The sequence below is a fragment of the Homo sapiens genome, chromosome 20, assembly GCF_000001405.40.
Source record: "Homo sapiens chromosome 20, GRCh38.p14 Primary Assembly".
Lineage (NCBI taxonomy): Eukaryota > Metazoa > Chordata > Mammalia > Primates > Hominidae > Homo > Homo sapiens.
The window spans coordinates 5,427,695-5,452,941 of NC_000020.11; the positions used below are offsets into that span (position 1 = coordinate 5,427,695).

The following is a 25,247-nucleotide window of genomic DNA, read 5'->3' on the forward strand; positions in this document are numbered from 1 at the left end:
GCAGGTGCCTGTAATTCCAGCTACTCAGGAGACTGAGGCAGGAAAATCGCTTGAACCTGGGAGGTGGAGGTTGCAGTGAGCCAAGATCATGCCACTGCACTCCAGCCTAGGTGACAGAGGGAGACTCTGTCTCAAAAACAAACAAACAAACAAACAAAAAGATGGAGTAAGTAAACCATGGTTCAATCACCTGTGACCTTAGAAGGCCTTTTCACGGATAGTTATGAACCATGGTGACTACCCATGATCCCTTCATGATGACGAGCATTGGGATGACCGTGGTAATTTGATGGATAGCTGCCCTTCTTTTATTTAGAGGTCACTATAGGTCAGGCCACATGCTGAGTGTTTTACATGCAATATCCCATTTATTCTAACAAGCCTGTGAAATAAGTATTTATCCTATGTTACAAATGAGCAATCCAAAGAAATCAGCTCAAATGACAGAAATCAGATTATTTGACAAAGATCACACAGTTGGTAATGGCTCAGAAGGAACTTGAACCTAGGTCTCCTAGCTTCAAATCTCCTCTCAGAGTTGTGACTTTAGGAGGCCTTCACTAGAATCAAGGCACGCACTACAGTCCACAGTCTCTGTGCAGGGTGACTAATGCGAATGGACCTAAGACCATGTCTGTCTCCATACTGTCTGTGGGAAGTGGCAAAGATGCATTTGTGAGTAGTGAATGAATGGAGCTTTTCTTTTGGTTTTCAGCTCACTCCATATCCCCTAAAACCGTAACACTCATGGATACCATAGTCTGTAAAATCAAACGAAAATTACTTACAAGCACTGGTAAAATCTAAGCAGTGGAGTGCCAGTAAATATTTAACAATTGGTTCTCTGAAACAAAAAAAAAAAGCCATAATATGTAGCACCTGCCAATTTTCATGCTGTAAATACTTCCAGCATGGCCAGTTTCAAGCTACCAACCTGACAACTCTGAACATGGAGTTGAGAAGAGACGTATTGAACTGGTTCTTTCTAGCTGGTAGGAGCCTGCTCCAGCACACCACTGAGTCTAAGCAACCCTGTAAAGTCAAATTTGGGGGAAGGAGATGAGAACTAAGCCTCTTCTTATTAATCTGAACTGGAAAATGTGTCTTACATTCATTTGTGTTTTTCTTTATTGTGTACATTTATTTCATTTCACATGTGCCATCACAGAGCTAAAGTACAGTTCCACAAAAGCTGTGCTGGGAGGATGCAAAAGTCATCAAGAACATGGTCCCTACCTTATACATACTCAGCCCCCTCTAGAGTCACATACCTGAACTCACTAAACTTCATAGCAACCCCGTAAGGTGAGAGAGACAGAATAGTGAGTATTAGGCCAGGCACAGTGGCTCATGCCTGTAATCTCGGCACTTTGGGGGGCTGAGGTGGGCAGATCACCTGAGGTCAGGAGTTTGAGACCTGCCTGGCTAACATGGTGAAATCCCATCTCTACTAAAAAATACAAAAATTAGCTGGGCATGGTGGCAGGTGAGTGTACTCCCAGCTACTCAGGAGGCTGAGGCAGGAGAAGAGCTTGAGCCTCGGAGGTGAAGGTTGCAGTGAGCAGAGATCCCACCACTGCACTCTAGCCTGGGTGACAGAGTAAGATCCTGTCTCAAAAAAAAAAAAAAAAAGAATAGTGAATGTTTTAGAGATGAGGATACCAGGATAAGGGAGACTATGTCTTGAACCTGCCTCTTTCTCCCAGTCAGGGACTGTCATTTGCCACTCATCACTCCTCATTGGGGAATAATTGTAGGGTAAGGTCAATGCGGGTTCCTAAATTCGAGTGTCTCAGGGTTCTGTTTAATACTTGCTCTTCTCTTTATATAGCAGTTTAATAGCAGGTTGTAGTCTTTGAAATTCCTTTGGCCTCCATACCCAAAGAATGATTTCCCTTTTTCTATAGATCAAGTTCTGTCTCCTTTCAATAGTATCTTTTCAGTAGAAAGAATGCAATAGTTCCACAGTTGCTACTCTACTTGGTAAATGCGGTGGAGGCCGAACAAAAACTGGGTTGGGGAAAAAAAAAGTTAGGTTGAGAACCACCAAAGTTGATTCTTTTCTCCCGTGAGATTTACTGAAAATTCAGGTGAATTACCTTTGTGTGACTAAAAGGGACTTAGGGAAAAATAGCTGAGTTTCCATTAACCAAATTCCCTGGAACCAAAGGAAAATTGTGCACTTTGTTGCACATTAAAAATAGGAACTGCAAGTATTAAAAGAGCAAAGTATCACATTTAATAATCACGAGGTGAGGCTTAATGATAAACTACTATATCTACATATGCACATCATATACTTGCAAAACATAACAGACTATTAGAGCAAAACTTAAGGAACTATGAATGCTAATTAGCTAGTTTATCTAAAATGTCTACCTGTTCTTAATTACCTTTTTTTTTTTTTTTCCTAAGAAGTAAGCTTGAATCTGGCCTTACTTTTTTTTTTTTTTTTTTTTTTGTGTGTGTGAGACAGAGTCTGGCTCTGTCACCCAGGCTGGAGTGCAATGGTACGATCTCAACTCACTGCACCCTCTGCCTCCCGGGTTCAAGTGATTCTCCTGCCTAAGCCTCCCAAGTAGCTGGGATTACAGGCATGCACCACCATGCCTGGCTAATTTTTGTATTTTTAGTAGAGGCATGGTTTCACCATGTTGGCCAGGCTGGTCTCGAACTCCTGACCTCAGGTGATTGGCCCGCCTCGGCCTCCCAAAGTGCTAGAATTGCAGGTGTGAGCCACCGCGCCCAGCCTCTTAATTACTTCTTAATCAACCTGGCTTTCTCTGAGTTCTCAGAGGAATGGGACATTCAAATTTACCTTAAACTCTTTGAAACAAAAACCATGAGAACATAAACCCAATACAAATGCTTTCAAGCTACAGAATATCAAAAGCCATTTTTATTGAATTCTATTTAGTGATCTTCTCCTCAGTTTTTTTCTTTTTCAAAGCCTGTTTCCAACATAATTAGAGAGAAGACATGATGCTAAGATTTCTAGTTTGTTCTCAAAAATGCCCCTTCTTACTTTCTTGATGCTTTTTTGCATGGCAGAGAGAAAAGGGCCATGTTGTTGTAGGGTCCCTATGATATGAGTAGAAACATTTTACTTATTGTTAGAAAGCTGTGGTTACCTTGGCAGGGAGTAGCTACCTTGCTCAGGAAGCTCCCCCTGGTTGCGTCTCCGGGAATCAGCCCTCAGTTAACCAGGCAGTTCACCATTTATTGTATTTATGGCTTAAACTTTATCCCTTCTTTTAAAGGGATTCTTTTAAAGAAGTATTTATCCCTTCTTTTTGAGGGATCTGGAATAAAACAGTCTAACCCATTCTAGAATCTACTTTAAATTTCTTTTATTTACCAAGAGGGAAAGAAATAATCTCAGGTTGTTTGCAGATCAAAAATGTAGAACTGTTAGAAGAAAGGTGCTGGGAAAATTAGCAATGAAGTGAGAAAATGGTTTAAAAGAGACAACTGCACAGCAGCTGGTCCTCCAATGTGTGTTTTGCTGATGAAAATCTTTCTGAGGGGCTGTACTGGAACAAACCCATATTAGGAAATCCCAATTCTGTCTACAGCTAAGACATACACGAAGTCAGTAGCACCTCAGGGTTTGTTTTTTTTTTTTCTTGAATATTTCTCTTTGCTGTCTCTGTAACTGAATATGTTAGAAAATTACTCATATTTTCCTTCAGCTTCCACAAAGAAATTTAGGTTAAGCAAGAGGAGAAAAGCAATTTCTAATTTGTTTATGGGTCTGCAAGTTCTGCAGAATCTGAGGAGAGAAGGATAAACTTACTGGTAAATAATTCACCTTCCCACCTCTCAAATAGTTTTTCTCAAATAGAAACACTCCAGGCACACACAAAAGTTCTCCATTTCGGGGAGCAGCCCAAACAGTGTCTCCTCCTTAACTGGCAAACTTTGCCCTAGAAGCTCCTTCACCTCCACCCCAGAGAGCTTCAGGGGAACCAGGGCTAGTCCACTCCAACGCCTGTCCCTACCTGCCCGCTTGTTCCTAATGACCTCAGTCCTCTGTCGCAGAGCTCTCCAGCTACCAGGAAGAAAACAGACACTATTCTCTGCCACCAACTCCCCATCCCAGCCAGCCTCCCAGCACACAAGAGCCTCTGCAAAGAAACGATAGTGCAAGCACATTTTCTTATGGAACTATCCTGGATCCCTCCACTGTCCCATGCCTCAGGATTCTCTCATCCAAGCACCCTATTTCCCTTCCCAACGTAGAGCCACGCCCTCATCATTTTCAACATTTATTTTTTGGAGACAGATAGGCGTGTTCTTGGTTATTCAACAACTCCACGATCAATGTGGTACTTTATTTAATACGTCTGATTTCACTAATGCACAAACAACCTTGCCTGAGTCTGGTATGATCATTCTCATCTTATAAATGGAGAAGCTGAGACTGGGAGTTTCCAAGACACCCCAGCTCACAGTCACTGGCAAGGGCCGTCCCCAAATCTGAGCCTTCCGCGCAGCCCAGGCTGCTCCCAGCTGCACCATGTTCCGGGTGCAACGAGAGAAGGGTCAGAAGTGAGCGGGCAGAGGACGCCCTCCCCTGCTGGCTGCTGGTGGCACTAGGGGCTCCTGGCAACGACGCCTGTCAGGGACGCCTTTCCAGACGCATCAAACCCAGCTTTCAGACGCTGAAGGTGACATCCTGTGAGGGCGACAGCAGCAGTTATTGGAAAGGGGCCGGGTGAAGTCCTGAAGTACTGACTGCTTAGGCTCCACGCACCATGCTGGGTAGACCCTTTCTTCAAGGCAGCTTCTGAGTTGGACATGCCCATTTTGCAGATGGGAGATGAAGGCTTCTGAATGTTAACTAACCCGCTAAGCTGAAGAGCCAGGAGGATTTGGACCCCGGGCTGCCTTCACAAGCCCACCTTCTGCTGGTCCACCTCCTCATCCCAGGATCTAAGGAACCTGAGGGAAACAAGAGCCCTGTATTAGTAAAGGTTTCCCAGAGAATAAATAGTTATAGATCAATAGCTATGAGATTTATTATAGGAATTGGCTCATGTGGTTATGGAGACTGAGAAGTACTCCCATCTGCTGGCTGCAAGCTGGAGAACCAGAAAAGCCAGTGGTGTAATTTGGTTCAAGTCCAACAGAGTGAGAATCGGACTAGCCTTGGGGGGACAGGGGGTGGGGGAGCCTGTGTAAGTCCCAGGATTTGAAGGCCTGAGAAGCAGGGCACAGATGTCCAAGGAGAAGATGGATGTCCCAGCTCAAGTAGAGGGAGTGAATTCATCCTTCCTCCACCTTTTTATTCTATTCGGGCCCTCAGTGGATTGGACGGTGCCCACCCACACGGGTGAGAGCAGATCTTCACCCAATCCACTGAGTCCAATTCCAACCTCTAGGGGACAGCCTCACAGACACACCTAGGAATCATGTTCCACCCACTGTGTGAGTATCCCTTAGCCTAGTCAGGTTGACACATAAATTTAGCCACCACTAGCCCTCTGTACAAGGCCACTGCCCCACTCCCTGGGCTGGCTTCTGATGCTGCCTGCAGGCCAAAGCACCAAGATCTTGGCTAGGGTCCCCATCCTGTAAGCCATGCAAGGACATTCCTTCCCTCCTGTCTAAAGCCCTTCACCCTTCTAACCACTCCGCTCTGGTGGCCAACGCTTTGAGGGGGTAGCAGAGAAAGCTGTGTATTCAAACCCCTGAAAGAGGATGTCCTAAGTTTGTCTTGGATGGAACTAAACCATCCCACATCCATAACTGTGGGATCCCTGCCATCCCGGAATTATCTTATATTCACAACTCCGACTTAAGGCACAAACAGAAGCTACTGTCTGACACGTTGGCCCTTGGCTGGTACACACAGAGTTGAACCATCTGTTGGGCAGTTTGCCCAAGGCTTGTCTTGCTTTTGGCAGCCCATATTTATCTACAATGGGTCTCTCTGATATGAGGGTAGACTTTGCTGGAGGCCAGGGTAACAGAGCATAGGAATTAGGCATGTGTCTCCTTCCTTGATTTTCCAAGATGCCTTTAGAGGATCCTCAACCTGCTGACACTTGCTGACTAGTAAAGCCCTTCCCTTTTCTACAATTGTACTTACGAATATCAGATAAAGGCAGGAAAGGTTGGGAACATGCAAAAGAGCCCCTAGCAGCTGTGTGGGGAAGCGGACAGCTCCCCTGTGGGGCCTGTGATGGTGCATTGGTATCACGGTCTTGTGTGCAAAGAGGCCGGGACTGTTCTTCCCACTTGCTGGATCAAAGAGGTGGCACACCTTGTTGAAGGTAAAAAGAGCCAAAGGCTTAGAAGGAACTTCCATGAGACTCTCCCTCTCCTCTATTGGTGCTCACTTAGCTGAGAATATGTACAACGATATCCTGGCCTGGGACAAAACAGAGCAGGTGCTAAGAGGATCACGGCTGTCACCTGATATCATTGAAATGTTTGGGGCAGGGGGTCCTCCCTCCGGGCCTTGCCAGGTACCCCTCTACTGTGCTGCTCCATCTCACTCCTGCTGACTCGTCCACCATGGGACAATCCAGAAAAGCATGAGAAAAGCACTTGGCACTTCTTGTGTGGGAAGACATCACAGTGGCCGCATCCCCCATGAGTGTTCCTATCTTCTGTGCCAGGGCTGCAGAGAACACAAGCTGTGGCTGCGGCACTCACTGCCTACTCTGCCTCCTCCATTCACATCTTCACACAGATGCCAACTGTCTGCCAAAGGGAATAAAAAATAAAAGCAGAGTGAACTTGACATCCTATACCTTCCAGCATTATCCCTCTGAACAAAGTAGAAATGGTGCAACAGCTGAAGAAAAGGACTCAGAGAGGAGAGAACGGAAGAATGATGAGATGTGATGAGTTAGTGAAGTCAGGCCCCAGGAAATTCCACACCAGCAGCATCAATCTGCCTTCTGTACCCAATGCTGAGGGATCAAAACTTGGAGCCCAGGGCTGGAGCCTCAGGATTCCTCCCCAAATCACACTGGCATGACTGTGTGCAACCCCGGAGTTGGGCTCATGTTTCTTCTGGAATTGTAGAATATAAGGCACAATTTATTCTATCCTTTCATCTTCCTGCTTTAAGTTTAGAAATTGCTGGTGGCTTTCCCTTAAAGGGAGTACATTTAAATTTTTTGTATTAAGTTCTTAAGTTTCTTAAGGCAAAATATTGATGGTACCATCACCATCTTCGTCTGAAAGTCATGTTCACATTATAGAAAAGACTTTCGCTAGACTGAGTCTTCCTCAGTCAAAGATTATATCTTGAAAGTGTATACTAGGTTAAGCAACACTTTTGAAATGTTATCATACTTTAATCAGAATTTCACACACAACACATTAAGAGTAGCCAACAGTGAGGTCAATGTCCTTATTTTCAAAAAAGCATTTTTCTCCAGTTTATTTTTATGAAAGGTCAGTGCCTTGGACATAATGTTCACTTCCATTCAAGAACATTTCTTGATAAGTAGAAATAATTTTTCAGGCAAAAACCTGATGTTCTAAGTTCAATAATAACCTGTTTCTACACTATGCCAAATTCTGGTGTGAAGGGAATTTTTACTGACATGGTAATTTTTTCACACATTTTATGATTTTTAAAAAATAGCCAGGTGTGGTAGCTAACACCTGTAATCCTAGCACTTTGGGAGGCTGAGGCGTGTGGATTGCGTCAGCCCAAGGGTTTAAGAACATCCTGGGCAACAAAGTGAGACCCCGTCTCTATTAAAAAAAATCATAGGATATCCAATAGTCAACAGTTCTCTGGTTTCAAATTTCTGCCAGAAAAATAATCTACAAATCAACTTGTCTAAAGCAAAAGTCCTTATTCATAATAGCTGCCATCAATTTCTAACTATTATGTTGCTGATAACAGCATATAGCAAGTCAGTCAACTCAGTTATTGGGAATATTTTCAGCTGTTAATGTTGGTATGTGTGCAGCATAGGGTTAAGACTGTGGGTATAGAATTCACACTTCCCAAGTTCAAATCTTTGTTTATTGTTTACTAACTGTCCAAACTTGGGCAATCGACTAAACTGCAATTTCTTCATCTTTAAAATGGAGACAGCATATTCCTCCTAGAGTTATTGTAAGGATTAAACAGGCAGGTAAGAGCTAAGGTGATTATTGCAATGCTGAAAAAACCTTATCAGTTTCTCTTATTATATTTCTCAAACTGTGTAGATCATGCTTGGAGAATAAAGTGTTTAAGTTGGTCAATTGAAAATCTTTTCGGAAAATTAAATACCTTTGCTGTTAATAAGTCAAATCAATGTTAATAATATTCTTCTGTGTATGTCCATAGCCTTGAATTGTAATCCAGCCTATAGCCCGTATCATTTTGTTTGAGTTTTTAACAATAGACTGAATTGTTAAAGAACAGTTTTAGAGTTTCAGAAGAGTTGAGAAAACAGTAGAGTTCCCATATGCCTGTACCGAGTTTCCCCCATGGCTATCATCTTAAATTTCTGTGGTACATTTGTTACAATTAATGAACCAATATTGATACGTTATTATTATTAGCTAATGTCCATGCTTTACTCAGATTTCCTTATTTTTACCTAATGTCCTATTTAGGTGTTAGAATCCCATCCAGAATATCACATAACACTTGGTCACCATGTTCCCTTAGGCTCCTCTTGGATGTGACAGTTTCTCAGACTTTCCTTTTTTTATGACCTTAATAATTTTGAGGTATATTGGTCAAGTAGTTTGTAGGATGCCCGTCTATTGGAATTTTACACTTTTCTCATGATTAGGCTGGTTTCTTGAGGAGGAGGACCCCAAAGGTAACGTGCCATTTTCATCACATATCAAGGGAACATACTAACAACATGACCTTTCACTGTTGATGTTGACCTTGATGGCTGAAGACGTGTTTGTCAGATTTCTCCACGGCAAGGTTACCCTTCACCCCGTCCCTTTACCACACTGTGTTCTCTGTAAGGAAGTCACTATGAGCAGCCCACACTTAGGAGTGAAAATTTATGCCCCCCTCCTTGAGAGCACAGTATCTACATCAATTATTTGGAATTCTTCAACATGGGATATTTGCCTCATCTTCTCTATTTATTTATTTATTCAGTAATTTATTTATACAAGTATAGTTTGTTTTATAATCCACCATCATTTTATTTATTTTGTTGTTCAAGCTGTGTTCCTAGTGTAAAGAAAAGATAAATATTTAAGGTGATGGTATCTGATTATCCTGATTTGATTATATGGATGTATCAAATTATCACACGTACCCCCAAAATATGTATATCTAATATGTGTCAATTAAATAATCATTCCAGTTTTGTCATTGGGAGCTCTTTCACACACACAGAGCTCTTCTGCGGTCCTTTTGACATATTCCCATCAATGCTTTTTAAAACAACAACAACAAAAACAACACTTCCTTACTTTCAAGCACTACAAGATGCTCCAATTTCATCTTGTATATTTTCTACCCCAGTCCTTGATAGCAATTTCTCCAAGCAGCCTTGCTTCCTTTTACTGAAGAATGGCATCAAAAACAGATCTGGGAGCTAGGTGTGCTAGTGGCTACTGGGTGTTGTTTCATTCAGGTACTTTCACCTCACAAAGCAAGGAAATATATGAATGTATACTCACCTGTATATAAAACATATCTATAAATATTTCTATGTGTAACCATTTACATTTATATTAAGCTAGACATGAGTTCCTACTGATCTCTCCAACTGTAATCCTTTACCACATGGATCATTCTATTCTCCTGATTCCCTTGCTTATCTGTAAAGTTTCACCCCAAAAGAGAGAAATCTTGTTCCCAACACTTGCCATTCATTTACTCAATTATTTAATTCCTCTCTCTCTCTCTCTCTCTCTCTCTCTCTCTCTCTCTATATATATATATATATATATATATATATATATATATATATGAGTATCAGAATTATTGACCCATGGGAAGCAATATTATCAACTACAGTACAGTGCTTAAATTCAGTTCTTTTCACCTTTAGTATTACACACTAAAACATTTCCAAAGTTACTGAGGTCAGCATCTTTCTGCCTCCCCTCATTTCAATGGGGTTGAACATTATCATTTTTAACCAATAAACAAACAACTGGATGTTATATCAACACAAAAGGAACTTCATGTTCACACGTCTATACAAACAAACATTTCACTTGTTTAAAAAAAAGTAAGTTAGTTATAGAATAAAAGATAAAATATTAACATTTTATATAAGATCTGATGTAAATTGTCATCAACAAAGTGTTCATATCCCACATATTTTATCAAGCTTGTCAAATATTGTTCATGCAAACTATCAACTGTAATTCACCTTGGCTTTTGCTAATTGCAAAAATGTTCTGGCCGGGCTTGGTGGCTCACGCCTGTAATCCCAGCACTTTGGGAGGCTGAGGCAGGTGGATTGCCTGAGGTAAGGAGTTCAAGACCAGCCTGGCCAACATGGTGAAACCCCATCTCTACTAAAAATACAAAAATTAACTGGGTGCAGTGGCAGATGCCTGTAATCCCACCTTCTTGGGAGGCTGAGGCAGGAGAATTGCTTGAACCTGGGAGGCAGATGTTGCAGTGAGCTGAGATTATGCCATTGCACTCTAGCCTGGGTGACAGAGCAAGACTCTGTCTCAAAAGAAAAGAAAAAAAGTTATCCTTTCTGACCACTGCTTTTAAATCTCCACTTTATTTTTTCCTGGGAAATAAACTTTAGGCACTTGAACCACAGCAAGCCTTGACCTCAGCCTGGAATAAACCACACTAATTTGTTGAACCCCAGGCTGAATCCTCTTTTCTGTGTAGGTGTATTGCTTTTTAAATTTACAAATGAAACTAATAGTTTCCTACCTTGCCACCCATATCAATATGTTTATATCATCTATACTTACATATTTATATCTATATCCATTCTTTTTAAATTTTAAGTTCTGGGGTACACATGCAGGATGTGCAGTTTTTTACATAGGTAAATGTGTGCCATGGTGGTTTGCTGTACCAATCAACCTATCACCTAGGTATTGAGCCCAGCTGCATCAGCTATTTTTCCCAATGCTCTCCCTTCCCACACCTAACCCCCCGACAGGCCCCTGTGTGTGTTGTTCCCCTCCCTGTGTCCCTGTGTTCTCATTGTTCAGCTCCCACTTATAAGTGAGAACATACGGTGTTCGATTTTCTGTTCCTGCATTAGTTTGCTGAGGGTAATGGCTTCCAGCTCCACCCATATCCCTGCAAAGGACATGATTTCATTCCTTTTTATGGCTTTATAGTATTCCATGGTATATGCATACCAGATTTTCTTTATCCAGTCTATCATTGATGGGCATTTGGGTTGATTCCATGTCTTTGCTATTGTGAATAGTTCTGCTATGAACATATGTGTGCATGTATCTTTGTAACAGAATTATTTATATTCCTTTGGTTATATATCCAGCAATGGGATTGCTGGGTCAAATGGTATTTCTGGTTCTAGGTCTTTGAAGAATCACCACACTGTCTCCCACAATGGTTGAACTAATTTACATTCCCACCAACAGTGTAAAAGCGTTCCTATTTCTCCACAGCCTTGCCATCATCTGTTGTTTCTTGACTTTTTAATACAAACCATTCTGACTGGCATGAGATGATATCTCATTGTGGTTTTGATCTGCATTTCTCTAATGATCAGTGATGTTGAGCTTTTTTTCATGTTTGTTGGCTGCATGAATGTATTCTTTTGAGAAGTGTCTTTTTCATATACTTTGCCCACTTTTTAATGGAGTTGTTTGTTTTTTTCTTGTAAATGTGTTTAAGTTCCTTGTAGACTCTGGATATTAGACTTCTGTGAGATAAATACAATACAAAAATTTTCTCCCACTCTGTAGGTTGCCTGTTTGCTCTGATAATAGTTTCCTTTTTTCTTTTTTTGTTTTTCTGAGATGGGGTCTCACCCTGTTGCCCAAGCTGGAGTACAGTGGTGGAATCTTGGCTCCCTGCAACCTCTGCCTCCCAAGTTCAAGTGATTCTCCTGCCTCAGCCTCCCGAGTAGCTGGGATTACAGGTGTGCACCACCATGCCCGGCTAATTTTTTGTATCTTTAATAGAGACGGGGTTTCACCACATTGGCCAGGCTGATCTCAAACTCCTGACCTCATGATCCACCCACCTCGGCCTCCCAAAGTGCTGGGATTACAGGTGTGAGCCACCGTGCCCAGCCTCTGATGATAGTTTCTTTTGCTGTGCAGAAACTCTTTAGTTTAATTAGGTCCCATTTGTCAATTTTTGCTTTTGTGGCAATTACTTTTGGTGATTTCGTCATGAAATATTTGCCCATGCCTATTCCCTGAATAGTACTGCCTAGATTTTCTTCTAGGGTTTTTATAGTTTTGGGCTTTAGATTTAGGTCTTTAATCCACCTTGAGTTAATTTTTGTATAAGGTGTAAGGAAGGGGTCCAGCTTCAATTTTCTGCATATAACTAGCCAGTTCTCCCAGCACCACTTATTAAATAGGGAATCCTTTCCCCATTGCTTGTTTTTGTCAGGTTTGTCAAAGATCAGATGGTTGTAGATGTGCAGCCTTATTTCTGAGTTCTCTATTTTCTTCCATTGGTCTACGTGTTTGTTTTTGTACCAGTATCATGCTATTTTGGTTATTGTTCCCTTGTAGTATAGTTTGAAGTCTGGAGCATGATGTTTGCAGCTTTGTTCTTTTTCCTTAGGATTATCTTGGCTATATGAGATCTTTTTTGGTTCCATATGAATTTTAAAATAGTTTCTTCTAATTCTGTGAAGAACATCAATGGTAGTTTAATGGGAATAGCATTTAATCTATAAATTACTTTGGGCAGTATGGCCAATTTCATGACATTGATTCTTCCTATCCATGAGCATGGAATGTTTTTGCATTTGTTTGTGTTCTCTCTCATTTCCTTGAGTAGTGGTTCATAGCTCTCCTTGAAGAGGTCCTTCACTTCCCTTGTTAGCTGTATTCCTAGGTATTTTATTCTCTTTGTAGCAATTGCGAATGGGAGTTCATTCATGATTTGGCTCTCTACTTGCCTCTTGGTGGTACATAGGAATGCTTATGACTTTTGCACATTGATTTTGTATCCTGAGACTTTGCTAAAGTTGCTTATCAGCTTAAGAAGCTTTGGGGCTGAGATGAAGGGATTTTCTAGATATAGGATCATGTCATCTGCAAACAAAGACAATTTTACTTCCTCTAAGAGAAAAGAATCAAATAGACACAATAAAAAATGATAAAGGGGATATCACCACTGACCCCACAGAAATACAAACAACCATCAGAGAATACTATAAACATCTCTATACAAATAAACGGGAAAATCTAGAAGAAATGGATAAATTTCTGGACACACACACCCTTCCAAGACTGAAACTGAAAGAAGTTGAATCCCTGAATAGACAAATAACAAGTTCCGAAATTGAGGCAGTAATAAATAGCCTACCAACCAAAAAAAAGTTCAGGACCAGATGGATTTACAGCTGAATTCTACCAGAAATACAAAAAGGAGCTGATACCCTTTCTTCTGAAACTATTCCAAATAATTGAAAAGGAGAGACTCCTCCCTAACTCATTCTATGAGGCCAGCATCATCCTGATACCAAAATCTGGCAGATATAAAACAAAAAAAGAAAACTTCAGGCCAATATCCCTAATGAACATTGATGTAAGAATTATCACTAAAATACTGGCAAACCAAATACGCAGAAAATCAAAAAGCTTATCCACCACGATCAAGTTGGCATCATCCCCGGGATACAAGGCTGGTTCAATATATGCAAATCAATTAACGTAATTCATCACATAAAGATATCTAAAAACAAAAACCAAATTATTATCTCAATAGACACAGAAAAGTTCTTCAATAAAATTCAAAATCCCTTCATGTTAAAAAATTCTCAATAAAGTAGGTACTAAAGGAAGATACTTTAAAATAATAAGAGCCATTTCTGACAAACTGACAGCAAATATCATACTGAATGGGCCAAAGCTGAAAACATTCCCCTTGAAAACTGGCACAAGACAAGGATGCTCTCTCTCACCACTCCCATCCAACACAGTATTGGAAGTTCTGACCGGGGCAATAAGGCAAGCGAAAGAAAGAAAGAAAGGGTATTCTATATCCACTTTTACTCAAATTCTTTTAAACCTCAAATTGTAAGAGACTACTGTCAAAGCTAAAACAAAATTATGTTGGGAATTTATGCCATATATCACTGCAATGAGGTCGAACTTCAGGAACTGTTAGCTCCTAACCATTTAAACAAAGAGAGATATTAAATATACTGATTTTAATGTCATCCCTCTGACTTCCTGAACCAACGACTATTTTTCCTGAAGGCACACAAAATTCAAAATTAAATAAAAAGGTATTTTTGAAAATAACTCCCACATTTCTGAAATGAGAATGGGGCAGCACAGATGCACGTTGACGGCTACCTCCATCGTTGAAAAGGGAGTTTCTGAGGCAGTTCTAATGAAGTGGCAATTTTGCAGATAATGTAAAATTCAAAAACACTATGGAGATGTTAGGCACAAACACGCCAAGCACATAAAGCAGCATCTGGCAGTTTCCCTTTGGAGGCCTCGTGTGCCAGCATTTCACTTAGATAAGAAAAAAGTCTCCTATTTTCAGCAATCTTCTTAAATGCTTTAATTTGACACTATCTGAAAGTGATACTTAAGTTGTGGTAAATCACATTTAATTGCAGCAGTCTACTGTCTATTATTTCACTATTGCTTCAATTTCTCTCTAAGCTCTCAAAGACCTCATGGAAAATAAAATATTCCTTAATGGAAGTGCTTTCATTCTTAGTGACTTTTTGCCCATCTTGGTCAATTATTTTGACATATGCTAAAGCAGTAACAGTCATATTAAAAGGCCAAGTAAAGCTGAAAAGTACAACTCATCTCTAAGAACATTTGGCTGTGTTTCTATATTACCTGCTTAAAGAGTCTAAATCTTGTTTTTAGCCACTCTCCCGGTTCTCTACCTCTAATGTTGGAGTAATGAGTTCGTGAAGTGCCTACTAGCCATGAGGACTAGGGGCTCGGGGTACAGATAAAGAAGACACAGACCCTGCCCTCCAGGAGGCTGAAGGAAAGAAGGGCAGGCCAATCAGTGCTCCTGAGACAGGGTGGCCCTCCTTCTGAGTCTTCTGTTTACTGAGGGCCTTTGTGCTGGATACTGGGCTGCTCCTCCATGTTCATTACTATCTGATATGGTTTGGATCTGTGTGTCCACCCAAATCTCATGTTCAGTTGTAATCCCCAATGTTGGAGGTGGGGCCTGGTGGGAGGTGATTGGACATAGGGGCACTTTCTAATGGTTTGGCACCATCCTTCTAGTGCTGTTCTCATGACAGACTTCTCATGAGACCTGGTTGTTTACAAGTGTGTAGCACCCTCCCTCTCTGTCTTCCTCCTGCTCCAGCCATGTAAGACAAGCCTGCTTCCCCTTCTCCATGCTTCCCTTTACACCATGATTGTAAGTTTCCTGAGGCTTCCCCAGCCATGTTTCCTGTACAGCCTGTGGATTCATGGACCAATTAAACATCTTTAGAAATTACCTAGGCTCAGGTATTTCTTTATAGCAGTGTGAAAAAAAACTAATACAGTCCCTCCTAACAGTAATGCCATGATGCAGGAAGAGAGCCTTACATTTAGGTAAGGATGCTTGGTCCTCTGAACATGTTGGTCCTTTTTATAGGTCCATCGTTCAGGCCACCTTAAAGAGGCAACTTGGGTGTTGTCCATCCAAGCTTGGACATGGGAATTTTGAGAAATAAGACTCTGGGCTCTGGAGGTTCTAGTTCTCTGGTTATCCCATCTGAAGTCCAGCTACCTCTGGAGAACAGCAAGTGGATGTGGATGAATTTGTTCTCAGTGATTCCTAGAGCTGGGTCTGAGTCTTGGGATGCAATGGAAGCCTCTTTCCTCTTCATTAGGCCCATTTACTGAAGAGCCTGAGTTTCAGAAGAGTTAGTGGACTTGCTCAGGTCTTGACAGATAGTTGGAATTGAAGGCTAAGTTTCTCCAGACCACGACAGAGGTTGCCATGGAGGTGCAGAGAAGATAATGAAAATCATGGTGGTAGATGGAGGTGGAAGGGGTAGTTGGTAAAACAGAGTAGGCACCCCAGAAATTATACTAAATCATTTTTTAAATTATTTTTAGTAATTAATGCATTCCTCCCCCTATATGGCCAGAGTTCTTAGAGTTGGGAGAAATCTTTGAAATTATTTGGATCATTCCTGCCTCCCAAGACTGGCAGAGAGGCACTGAGGCTCTCCTTCATCATCTTTAGGGATAAAGAGCTCATGCATGAATGGGGCTGGGGGTCCCTGGCAAATTCCGACCACTGGGGAATCTCTTATCAAAATTTACAAAGAGGAAGCAGGAAGCTCCTTGTTTCCAGTGTATATCACTCTTAACTAAAGCTCAGAGAAATTAAGATATTCTCTATGGCACTACTCAAAACCATGCACCATGATGAGTTGGCAGGATCAGAAGAAAGACCTTTTGCGGATGCCTACCTAGAAGGTTGCAGTGGATACTGGAATTTGGGTTTAGAAAGAAAAGGACAAGGGGATGCTACAAATAATGTCAAATTGAGGCTTTCAGTTTGTGTGGGTCAATATTAGCTTGTTGGGAAACAAGTGCCAGGTAGTCTGTGACATTCAAGGCCCTGATATCCTAAGAGTAAGGAAGAAATAGTGTTTAACAATATTCATCAGAGCAGTGGAGTATAAGAAAAGTCCACATATGTTCTGTGAGTCAGCATGCTGGGACTGAATTTCTAACCTCCTGGTTCTTAATTTCCTCATCTGTATAATGAGAGACTTGTTGAAGATCTTGCTAATATTCTACAGTGGGTTTTAATTTTTTTACATACTTGGTGAAAAAAAAAACAAAACCTCATTTTTTCCCCTCAATCTGATACTAGCTGGTCTAAGTCTCCATCCTTCAGGTTAGAGGAGCACTTTCCCTCAGTCATGTTTTCTACGAATCTCTAGGTGTCTTGCAGTCTAGAACATTCAAGTAAGGATTCCTGGTCCTCTGAACACTTTGGTCCCTTTTAAAGGTCCATGGCGCCGGCTACCTTGAAGAGGCAACTTGGATGTTCTCCAGACAAACTTGGACATGGGAATGTTCAGAAAAATGGGAGTTTGCGCTCTGGGGGTCCTGGTTCTCTGGTTAACCCATCTGAGGTCCAACTACCCTCTGGAGAACAGCAAGGAGACAGATTTGTTCTCTGTGATTCTTAGAGATGGGTCCCAGTCTTGGGAAGCAATGGAAGCCTCTTTCCTTTCCCATTAGGGCCATTTACACCTTTCCCAACTTTTGGTTTCTTTCTCCGGGCCATACACTGAATCCATTGTCATCATATGCTTAATTTTTCTATCACATAAGCCCTCAGTGAAGGATGTCTTCTGGGTGTCTAAAAACATTCTGTTTTTAACCATATGTCAGTTTATCTTTGGTTGTGTGCTGAACATGGTATTTGTAAAATACTTGTTGAAATAATTTGAGGGCAAGGATAATGTTACCTTCCTCTGAGGAGGATTTGATTTGTCTTTGCAAGGCACCTCAGGGAGCTTGCAATTCAAGATCAGGTTAATTCAAGCACAGGACTTTTTACCAAGCAACTTAGAAATATTTAAATAATTGAACAATTGATACAGCTGTACAGGTGCCTCCCAAATGAATATCAGCCCTAAATGCCCCCAATACTTAGGTTAAGTTCTTGTTAATATGGCTATATAACATATCACTCCCAAATTTAGGATTTGAAACAATAATTATTTCTCACGGTTTCAGTGGGTTAGCTCAGAAGCAGCTCAGCTGGGTGGTTCAAACTCAGGGTCTCTCATGATGTTGCAGTCAGATGTCAGTAGGAACTGGAGGCTCCAATTCCAAGGTGGCCCACTTACAAGGCTGGCAAAGTGGTGCTGGTGATTGGCAGGAACCCTTAATTCTTCTCCATGTGAATCTGTAGATGGAGCTGCTCGAGAGTCCTTGGAGAGCGGTGGCTGGCTTCCGCAGAGAGAGAGATCTAAGAGGTGGAAGATACAATGCCTTTTGTGACCTAGCCTCGGAATTCACACCCCATCACTTCCTCCACATTCTATTGGTCACCCAGAGCCAGCCCTGATTCAATGCGCAAGGGAACTAAGAAGGACATGAATACGAGGAGGCAGGAACCATCACAGGCTGTCTTGCAGACTGGTTACCACACACAGAAATTGGGACTTGAATCCAGGCCTCTCTGATGTCAAAGTCCTTGTACTTCACTGTGCTGCCCTCCCCAAGCAGCCTCTTGAATCTGTGGATCCCTCTAAGTGTAATGTCACCTTCAGCCTGCAACAGTACAGAATGGATAAAGTAGTGATATTAAACATGCTGTAAGAGAAGAAGAGAAGCCTAGGCTCCTTGAGCATGATTATAAAATGGGGACCAGTGAGGAGAGGATAGCCTCAAGAAGAAGAATTGAGAGGGGCTTGGTTAACTATCCCTAACTGGACATTCTGCTTTTTGCTGTTCCTGGCATCAGCTATCAGAAAGTCTCTGTGGGTGAGTTTCTGAGCACTCTTTTATGCCATTAACTACACTCTTGCGAAGCTTCTGTTTGAAGGGTTTGGATTTTCTTAGGCAGTGCCAGGTTTTCAGAATAGAAATTGACTGGTTTCTCCCCCAGAAAGTCTATAGCCTACCGTGTTTAACCCCAACCTCTAGTAATAGCTCAATCCACGCTGATCCCCCAGGGTTTGCAGAACAGAGTCTCGGTTGCAAACACTGCAATCAGCAGCTTGCTGTTTTTCTCTTTTTCTTCCACTTTATTTTATATTGATATTTAATGAATGTTTCTTTGGTGGTATTGCTATGTTCATTATTTAAACTCTGAAAATTGAAGCCATAGAAAATAATTGTTGATTCACCACAGGGAGCCATATAAATATTGTTCTAAATTCTAATGACCATGACCATTGGGATTATTTTTTGTGAAGCATAATTTCCATTATTTTGAAAGCCCTCAAGTCAGTATCTTAGAAGGGCAGCTGTTTTCTTGGCTATTTTCAATAGGTTTTTCTTCTTTCTTCATTTTTCCTTCCCTCCTTACCACATTAGACACCCTCCTTTTATTTCTTCCCTTGCCATTGTATTGTTTTTTGTTTGTTTGTTTTTGTTTGTTTTTGAGACAGATTCTCACTCTATCACCCAGGCTGGAGTGCAGTGGTGAGATCTCAGCTCACTGCAACCTCCGTCTCCCGAGTTCAAGCGATTCTTCTGCCTCAGCATCCCGAGTAGCTGGGACTACAGGCGCACGCCACCATGTCCGGCTAATTTTTGTATTTTTAGTAGAGACTGAGTTTCACCATACTCTCCAGGCTGGTCTCAAACTCCTGACCTCGTCATCTGCACGCTTTGGCCTCCCAAAGTGCTGGGATTACAGGTGTAAGCCACCACGCCCAGTCTGTATTGTTATTTTTATTGCTATTGTTAATATAAACGAGGCCTCAGGACTTAGAGCTTCACAACTAAATAATACCTGTGTACATCATTTTGTATTTTCAAGTTGTTTTTACAAATATCATCTTATCTGATGCACATTATAACTGAATGAGATAAATGGGACAAACGTCATCCCTATTTACAGATAAGGACAAAATCCCAAAGATTTGCAGAGCTACAGGGCTGGTTAGAGCAGGTCCCTCCTCCAAGAGCAGATCTCCCTCCCTTAGTATTATCTCACCCCTCCGGGCCTGGGAAACCTAAAGATACTTTGTGAACGCATGTCTGTATCTACAGAAAGCTCTGCTAGTTAAAGAAACTACCCTAGACCAAGCTGCGCTCTAAGGGGCTGGTGAGCTCTGTTATTTTTAAAATTACTTTAAATATTTTTTCTTTTTAATTAAAATAATGAGTCAAACATAGGGAGGATTACAGAAAATAATTTGGAACCAATCAGATTTATCTGAGGTGACCTTTTGCCACAGATGCTTGAAGTCCATCCATCTCTCTTATGAAATGAAATGTTACAGAAACAGCTCATTCTCTCCCTCCTCACTACTCCTTGCCTCCCTCCCAAGGCTACTTCCATCCTGAGTAGTGCTTTCTTCAGTTGCATGTTGATCTACTGTTATATACAAGAATGAGTTACAAGTCATATGCCATCAGCTTTGCATTTTGCAAGAATTTTCACAAATATTATGCTATCGCATGTACAGACTTTAGGCTCACTGCTGAACAATGCCCTGGGCTTCTTTCATTTTTCTGCATGTCTCACTCCTCTGGCTATGCCTGTTTGGGCTGGGAGAGAATACAGGGAATGTCCAAGATATTAGCAGTTCCTATGGCAGCAAGTGCTGGTTTCTGTGACTGTGGTTCCCTAAGAGAGGCAGAAAAGCAAGGGGACTAAGCTTCCACTGTGCACTTAATCGCAGGGCCATAGCCCAAGTAGGTTGTAAAGGCCGATGACATCCCAAGACAGGCTGGAACTTGAACTGACATTTTACAGAGGAAAACCAGGCCCAGAAAAGAGAATGGTTGCTTTAATGTCACACTTCCAGAAATTGGTAAAGCAGGAACCATCTCAGAGCTTATGACACCTTTGTACTAAACACATTGCCTTTAGGCAGTCTTATTCTTCATCCAGTAAACAGCAGACCATGGATTTGATTGTTTTCTTTCTTTTCTTTTCTTTTCTTTTCTTTTCTTTTTTTTTTTTTTTTGAGACGGGAGTCTTGCTTTGTCGCCCAGGCTGGTGTGCAGTGGCGCAAACTTGGATTTGATTGTTTTCTTGCCTCTGCTCCCCTGAGGAAAATGCCAGCAAACTATAAAATTTCATTCCCTGAGATCCTGGCAAGCTACATTGGACTTAGGTGTCTGCTGTTTCTGGGAGGCAGCAAGGATCTGAGTTTGGGGGAAGATCAGGTCACCGGGCTGAAGAGTAGCCCGAAGATCTTTTTTACCTGGATCGCCCTCTGGTGGCAGATTCGATAACAACCGCTCTAATTCATCATCTGAAATGCAAAGTGGTTGCAGCTCAAGTTTTCCTTGCTCCTCTTGGGACTTGCTCGTTCCTCATTAAAGCATCCCTATGCCCACTCTATACAAGACACATTTACTTTGAGCTGCATCCCTGAGATAATCGACTCCAAGCCAATATTTCTGTGTGTCAGTCACAGTAACTGGAGCTGTGGCATGGAAAATAAGAAGAAAGCATTGTTCCTGACCCCAAGGAATTTAAGTTAACTGGGTGAGACAGGCATACAGGCAGCTGACCAGACTCGGAGTCAGTGTGACCGAGAATGGACAGGCTGGGGGAATGCAGAGGGAGGAGGCCTTGGTGGGGAAGCTAGTGTCTGAGTTCTCAAGGAGCAATGGGAATTCTGAAGTTGGAGAGGGGCAGGGACACTGGAGGAGGGGAGGACAGGGCATGGCCCCTTCCTCCCTCCCTGTTTCCCCTTCTCCTTGGGGCCTTGCTCTCTTTCTCTTCCTCTTTACTCACCCCAGTACCAATAGCCCTACAATTCATGACCACCCGAAGCGTCCATTTTCTGGGAGAAGATTGGGCTCCTTAGCCTCTTCCTACAGACCTTTCTCTCTGAGTCTTCCCATGGGTCCTTCTGACATCTGAATAGAATGACCAAGGCATAAATCTCAATCATCGAGGTTTATTAAGTCAGCTTGAGGGTGCTTCCGGGAAAAATACAAGCCACAGGTACATCTGTGGCTGTTTTTCTCAAGAGAGTTTCAGGGGATTTAGTATTTACACATTTCCTTAAATGGGGGAAAGGCTTTTAGGAAAAAGGGCAGACAGGTGGTAAGGCGAATGGCTACATTCCTGTGAGACTCTAGCTGCTGCCTGGTAAATCTACATTTTACATAAGACAAATTGGATGTTTGAAAATAAAAAGAGAGTAAAGGAAGAGTCAAGTATGCAGATGTCTCTGGGTAGGTATAGGAATGAGTCTTGTCTTTATTCTGCACCTGCACTTCTATCTAAGCTTGCGATCAACATTATCAGCATGGAATCAACTTTAATTTTAGGAGCTAGGCTGGGCACGGTGGCTCACGCCTGTAATCCCAGCACTTTGGGAGGCCAAGGCGGGCAGATCACTTGGGGTCAGGAACTCGAGACCAGCCTGGATGAAATGGTGAAACTCCATCTCTACTAAAAATACAAAAATTAAGGCCGGGTACAATGGCTCATGCCTGTAATCCCAGCACTTTGGGAGGTCAAGGCAAGTGGATCACCTAAGGTCAGGAGTTCGAGACCAGCCTGACCAACATGGTGAAACCCTATCTCTACTAAAAATACAACAATTAGCTGGGTGTGGTGGCGCATGCCTGTCCAAGCTACTCAGGAGGCTGAGACAGGATAATCGCTTGAACCCAGGAGGCGGAGGTTGCAGTGAGCTGAGATCACGCCATTGCACTCCAGCCCAGGCAATAAGAATGAAATTCCTTCTCAAAAAAAAAAAAAAAAAAAAAATTAGCCAGGCATGGTGGCATGCACCTGTAATCTCAGCTACTTGGAAGGCTGAGGCAGGAGAATCGCATGAACCCAGGGGGCAGAGGTTGCAGTGAGCCGAGATCGCATCACTGCATTCCAGCCTGGGTGACAGAATGAGAGTTAGTCTCAAAAAAAAAAAAAAAAGAAATTAAGAACTAGACTTAGTTTGTAGACCTAAAGTTACAATTGGCATGTCCTTGTGTTGCCAAAAAAAAAAGAGGTCCCAATCCAGACCCTAAGAGAAAGTTCTTGGATCTCGTGCAGGAGGGAATTCCAGGCAAGTCACAGAGTTCAGTGGGGAGGGAAGGTTTATTGACGGCTACTCAAATACAGGGTAGGGTGTCCTCAGAAAGCAAGCGGAGGAATGCCTCGTCTTTACATTTTTCGTATATAGGAGTCTTCTCTATGTGGAGACTGAACTAAGCTGTGTCTACCTGTGTGGGTGGGCTGGAAGCATGACCAAATTTATTATTCTGTTGATTTAAAGAAAACTACTGGTGGCACATGCCTGTAATCTAGCATTGGGAGGCCAAGGTGGGAGGACTGCTTGAGCCCAGGAATTCAACATCAGCCTGGACAACATAGCAAGACCTCGTCCCTATTTTTAAAATAAAATTTGTTCTACAAAAAAATTAAAAAGAAAAAGAAGGCCGGGCGCGGTGGCTCACGCCTGTAATCCCAGCACTTTAGGAGGCCCAGGCGGGTGGATCACGAGGTCAGGAGAACGAGATCGTCCTGGCTAACACGGTGAAACCCCATCTCTACTAAAAATACAAAAAATTAGCCGGGCGTGGTTGCAGGCGCCTGTAGTCCCAGCTACTCGGGATGCTGAGGCGGGAGAATGGCTTGAACCCAGAAGGCGGAGCTTGCAGTGAGCGGAGATCGCGCCACTGCACTCCAGCCTGGGCGACAGAGCGATCCTCTGCCTCAAAAAAAAAAAAAAAAAAAAAAGAAAAGAAAAAAAAAGAAAAAAAAGAAAACTATTGGCTGGGTGCGGTGACTCATTCCTGTAATCTCAGCCCTTTGGGAGACTGGCCAGCAAATTGTTTGAGCTCAGGAGTTCGAGACCAGCCTGAGCAACAAGGCAAAACCCTATCTCTACTAAAAATACAAAAATTAGCCTGCGTGGTGGCACACGCCTGTGGCCCCAGCTACTCAGGAGGCTGAGGTGGAAGGATCTCTTGAGCCAGGGTGGTGGAGTTTGTGGGGAGGTGGAGTTTGCAATGAGCCAAGATCACACCATTTGCACTCCATCGCGGGCAACAGAGTGAGACTCTGTTGGGAAAAAAAAAGAAAGAGAGAAACAGAGAGAAGAAAGAAAGAGAAAGGAAGGAAGGAAAGAAAGAGAAAAAAAAAGGAAGAAAGAAAAGAAAAGAGAAGGAAAGGAATCTATCCTTGACACTTTAGTGTGTGAGTGCATCAAAGCATAATTATAATTATCTTGAAAGCATATACTATTATGGGTATTGAGACATCTGGACTTTCTTTTGTTGTAGGATTGTGTCCTTGTAGGTATCCTTGGGCTGTTTCCTCAATTGAAAAATCTTATGACCATAGTTTGTGATTGGCAAAGAATGTGCCTTCCTGGTTTTCAAATGGAGTTCATTTTAAAATGGTGTCACCCTGGCTCTCCTATGTTCCTGTTTCCCTTGCTTATAGGAGGCCAGCAGAGAATTTACTTATGAATGATCTGTGGGGGCAGGGCTTTGTAGATGCTTGAGGCCTTTTACCTTTCCATGGGGATCTGGCTGATGCATAATGCTAGTAACAGGTATTCATTTGAAAGTGGGTGTTGCATGACTCAGCATCTGGGCTTAAGTTTGGAGGTCCTGACATTTTTAAATTTCCTTTACATTCCCCCTGTTCTTCAAAGCTTTTGGAGAAAGCGTTGAGGAAGACACGAGATTGTGGTTTATTGGTTTATCCAATCCTATGTCACCATGAAGCCTCCCTCTTAGGTGGTCACATCCTAGAGAGGGGGAAATTACATCAGAAAAGGACCAATGCCAAATTACAGCAACAAAGGGAAAGTAATCCTGGAAGCTGATTTAAGCTATGTGACTGTGTCTTCAATTAAAATATTCAGTCCCTTCCCCTCCCCCTCCCCCTCCCTTCCGTCTCCCTCTGTTGCTGAGGCTGGACTGTACTGCCGTGGTCTCGGCTCGCTGCAGCCTCCCTGTCCCGGGCTCCCGTGGTTCTCCTGCCTCGGCCTGACGAGTGCCTGGGATTGCAGGTACGCGCCGCCACGCCTGACTGGTTTTTGTATTTTTGGAGGAGACGGGGTTTCGCCCTGTTGACCGGGCTGGTCTCCAGCTCCTGACCTCGAGTGTTCTGCCCGCCTCGGCCTCCCGGGGTGCCGGGATTGCAGACGGAGTCTCGCTCACTCAATGCTCAGTGTTGCCCAGGCTGGAGTGCAGTGGCGTGATCTCGGCTCGCTACAACCTCCACCTCCCAGCCGCCTGCCTTGACCTCCCAAAGTGCTAAGATTACAGCCTCTGCCCGGCCGCCACACTGTCTGGGAAGTGGGGAGATCTCTGCCTGGCCACCCATCATCTGGGATGTGGGGAGCCCCTCTACCCAGCCGCCCCGTCTGGGAGGTGAGGAATGCCTAAGCCCGGCCGCCCCGTCTGGGAAGTGAGGTGCGCCTCTGCCTGGCCGCCTGTCGTCTGGGATGTGAGGAGCGCCGCTGCCCGGCCACCCATCGTCTGGGAAGTGAGGAGCGCTGCTGCCC

At 42.8% G+C, this 25,247-nt stretch overlaps 1 long non-coding RNA gene across 2 annotated transcripts; it reads right to left on the reverse strand.

Moving 5' to 3' along the window:
* Nucleotides 1-4,262: 4,262 nt before the first annotated feature.
* Nucleotides 4,263-18,054, reverse strand: LINC00658 (long intergenic non-protein coding RNA 658). 2 transcript variants are annotated; one of them, NR_038240.1, is made up of 5 exons: nucleotides 17,810-18,054; nucleotides 9,406-9,579; nucleotides 6,478-6,711; nucleotides 6,095-6,376; nucleotides 4,263-4,944 (listed from the first exon to the last, which is right to left on the reverse strand). It is a non-coding gene; the product is annotated as a long intergenic non-protein coding RNA 658 (long non-coding RNA). The 2 variants fall into 2 exon arrangements; NR_038239.1 differs by having other exon boundaries at nucleotides 6,095-6,398.
* Nucleotides 18,055-25,247: the final 7,193 nt, after the last annotated feature.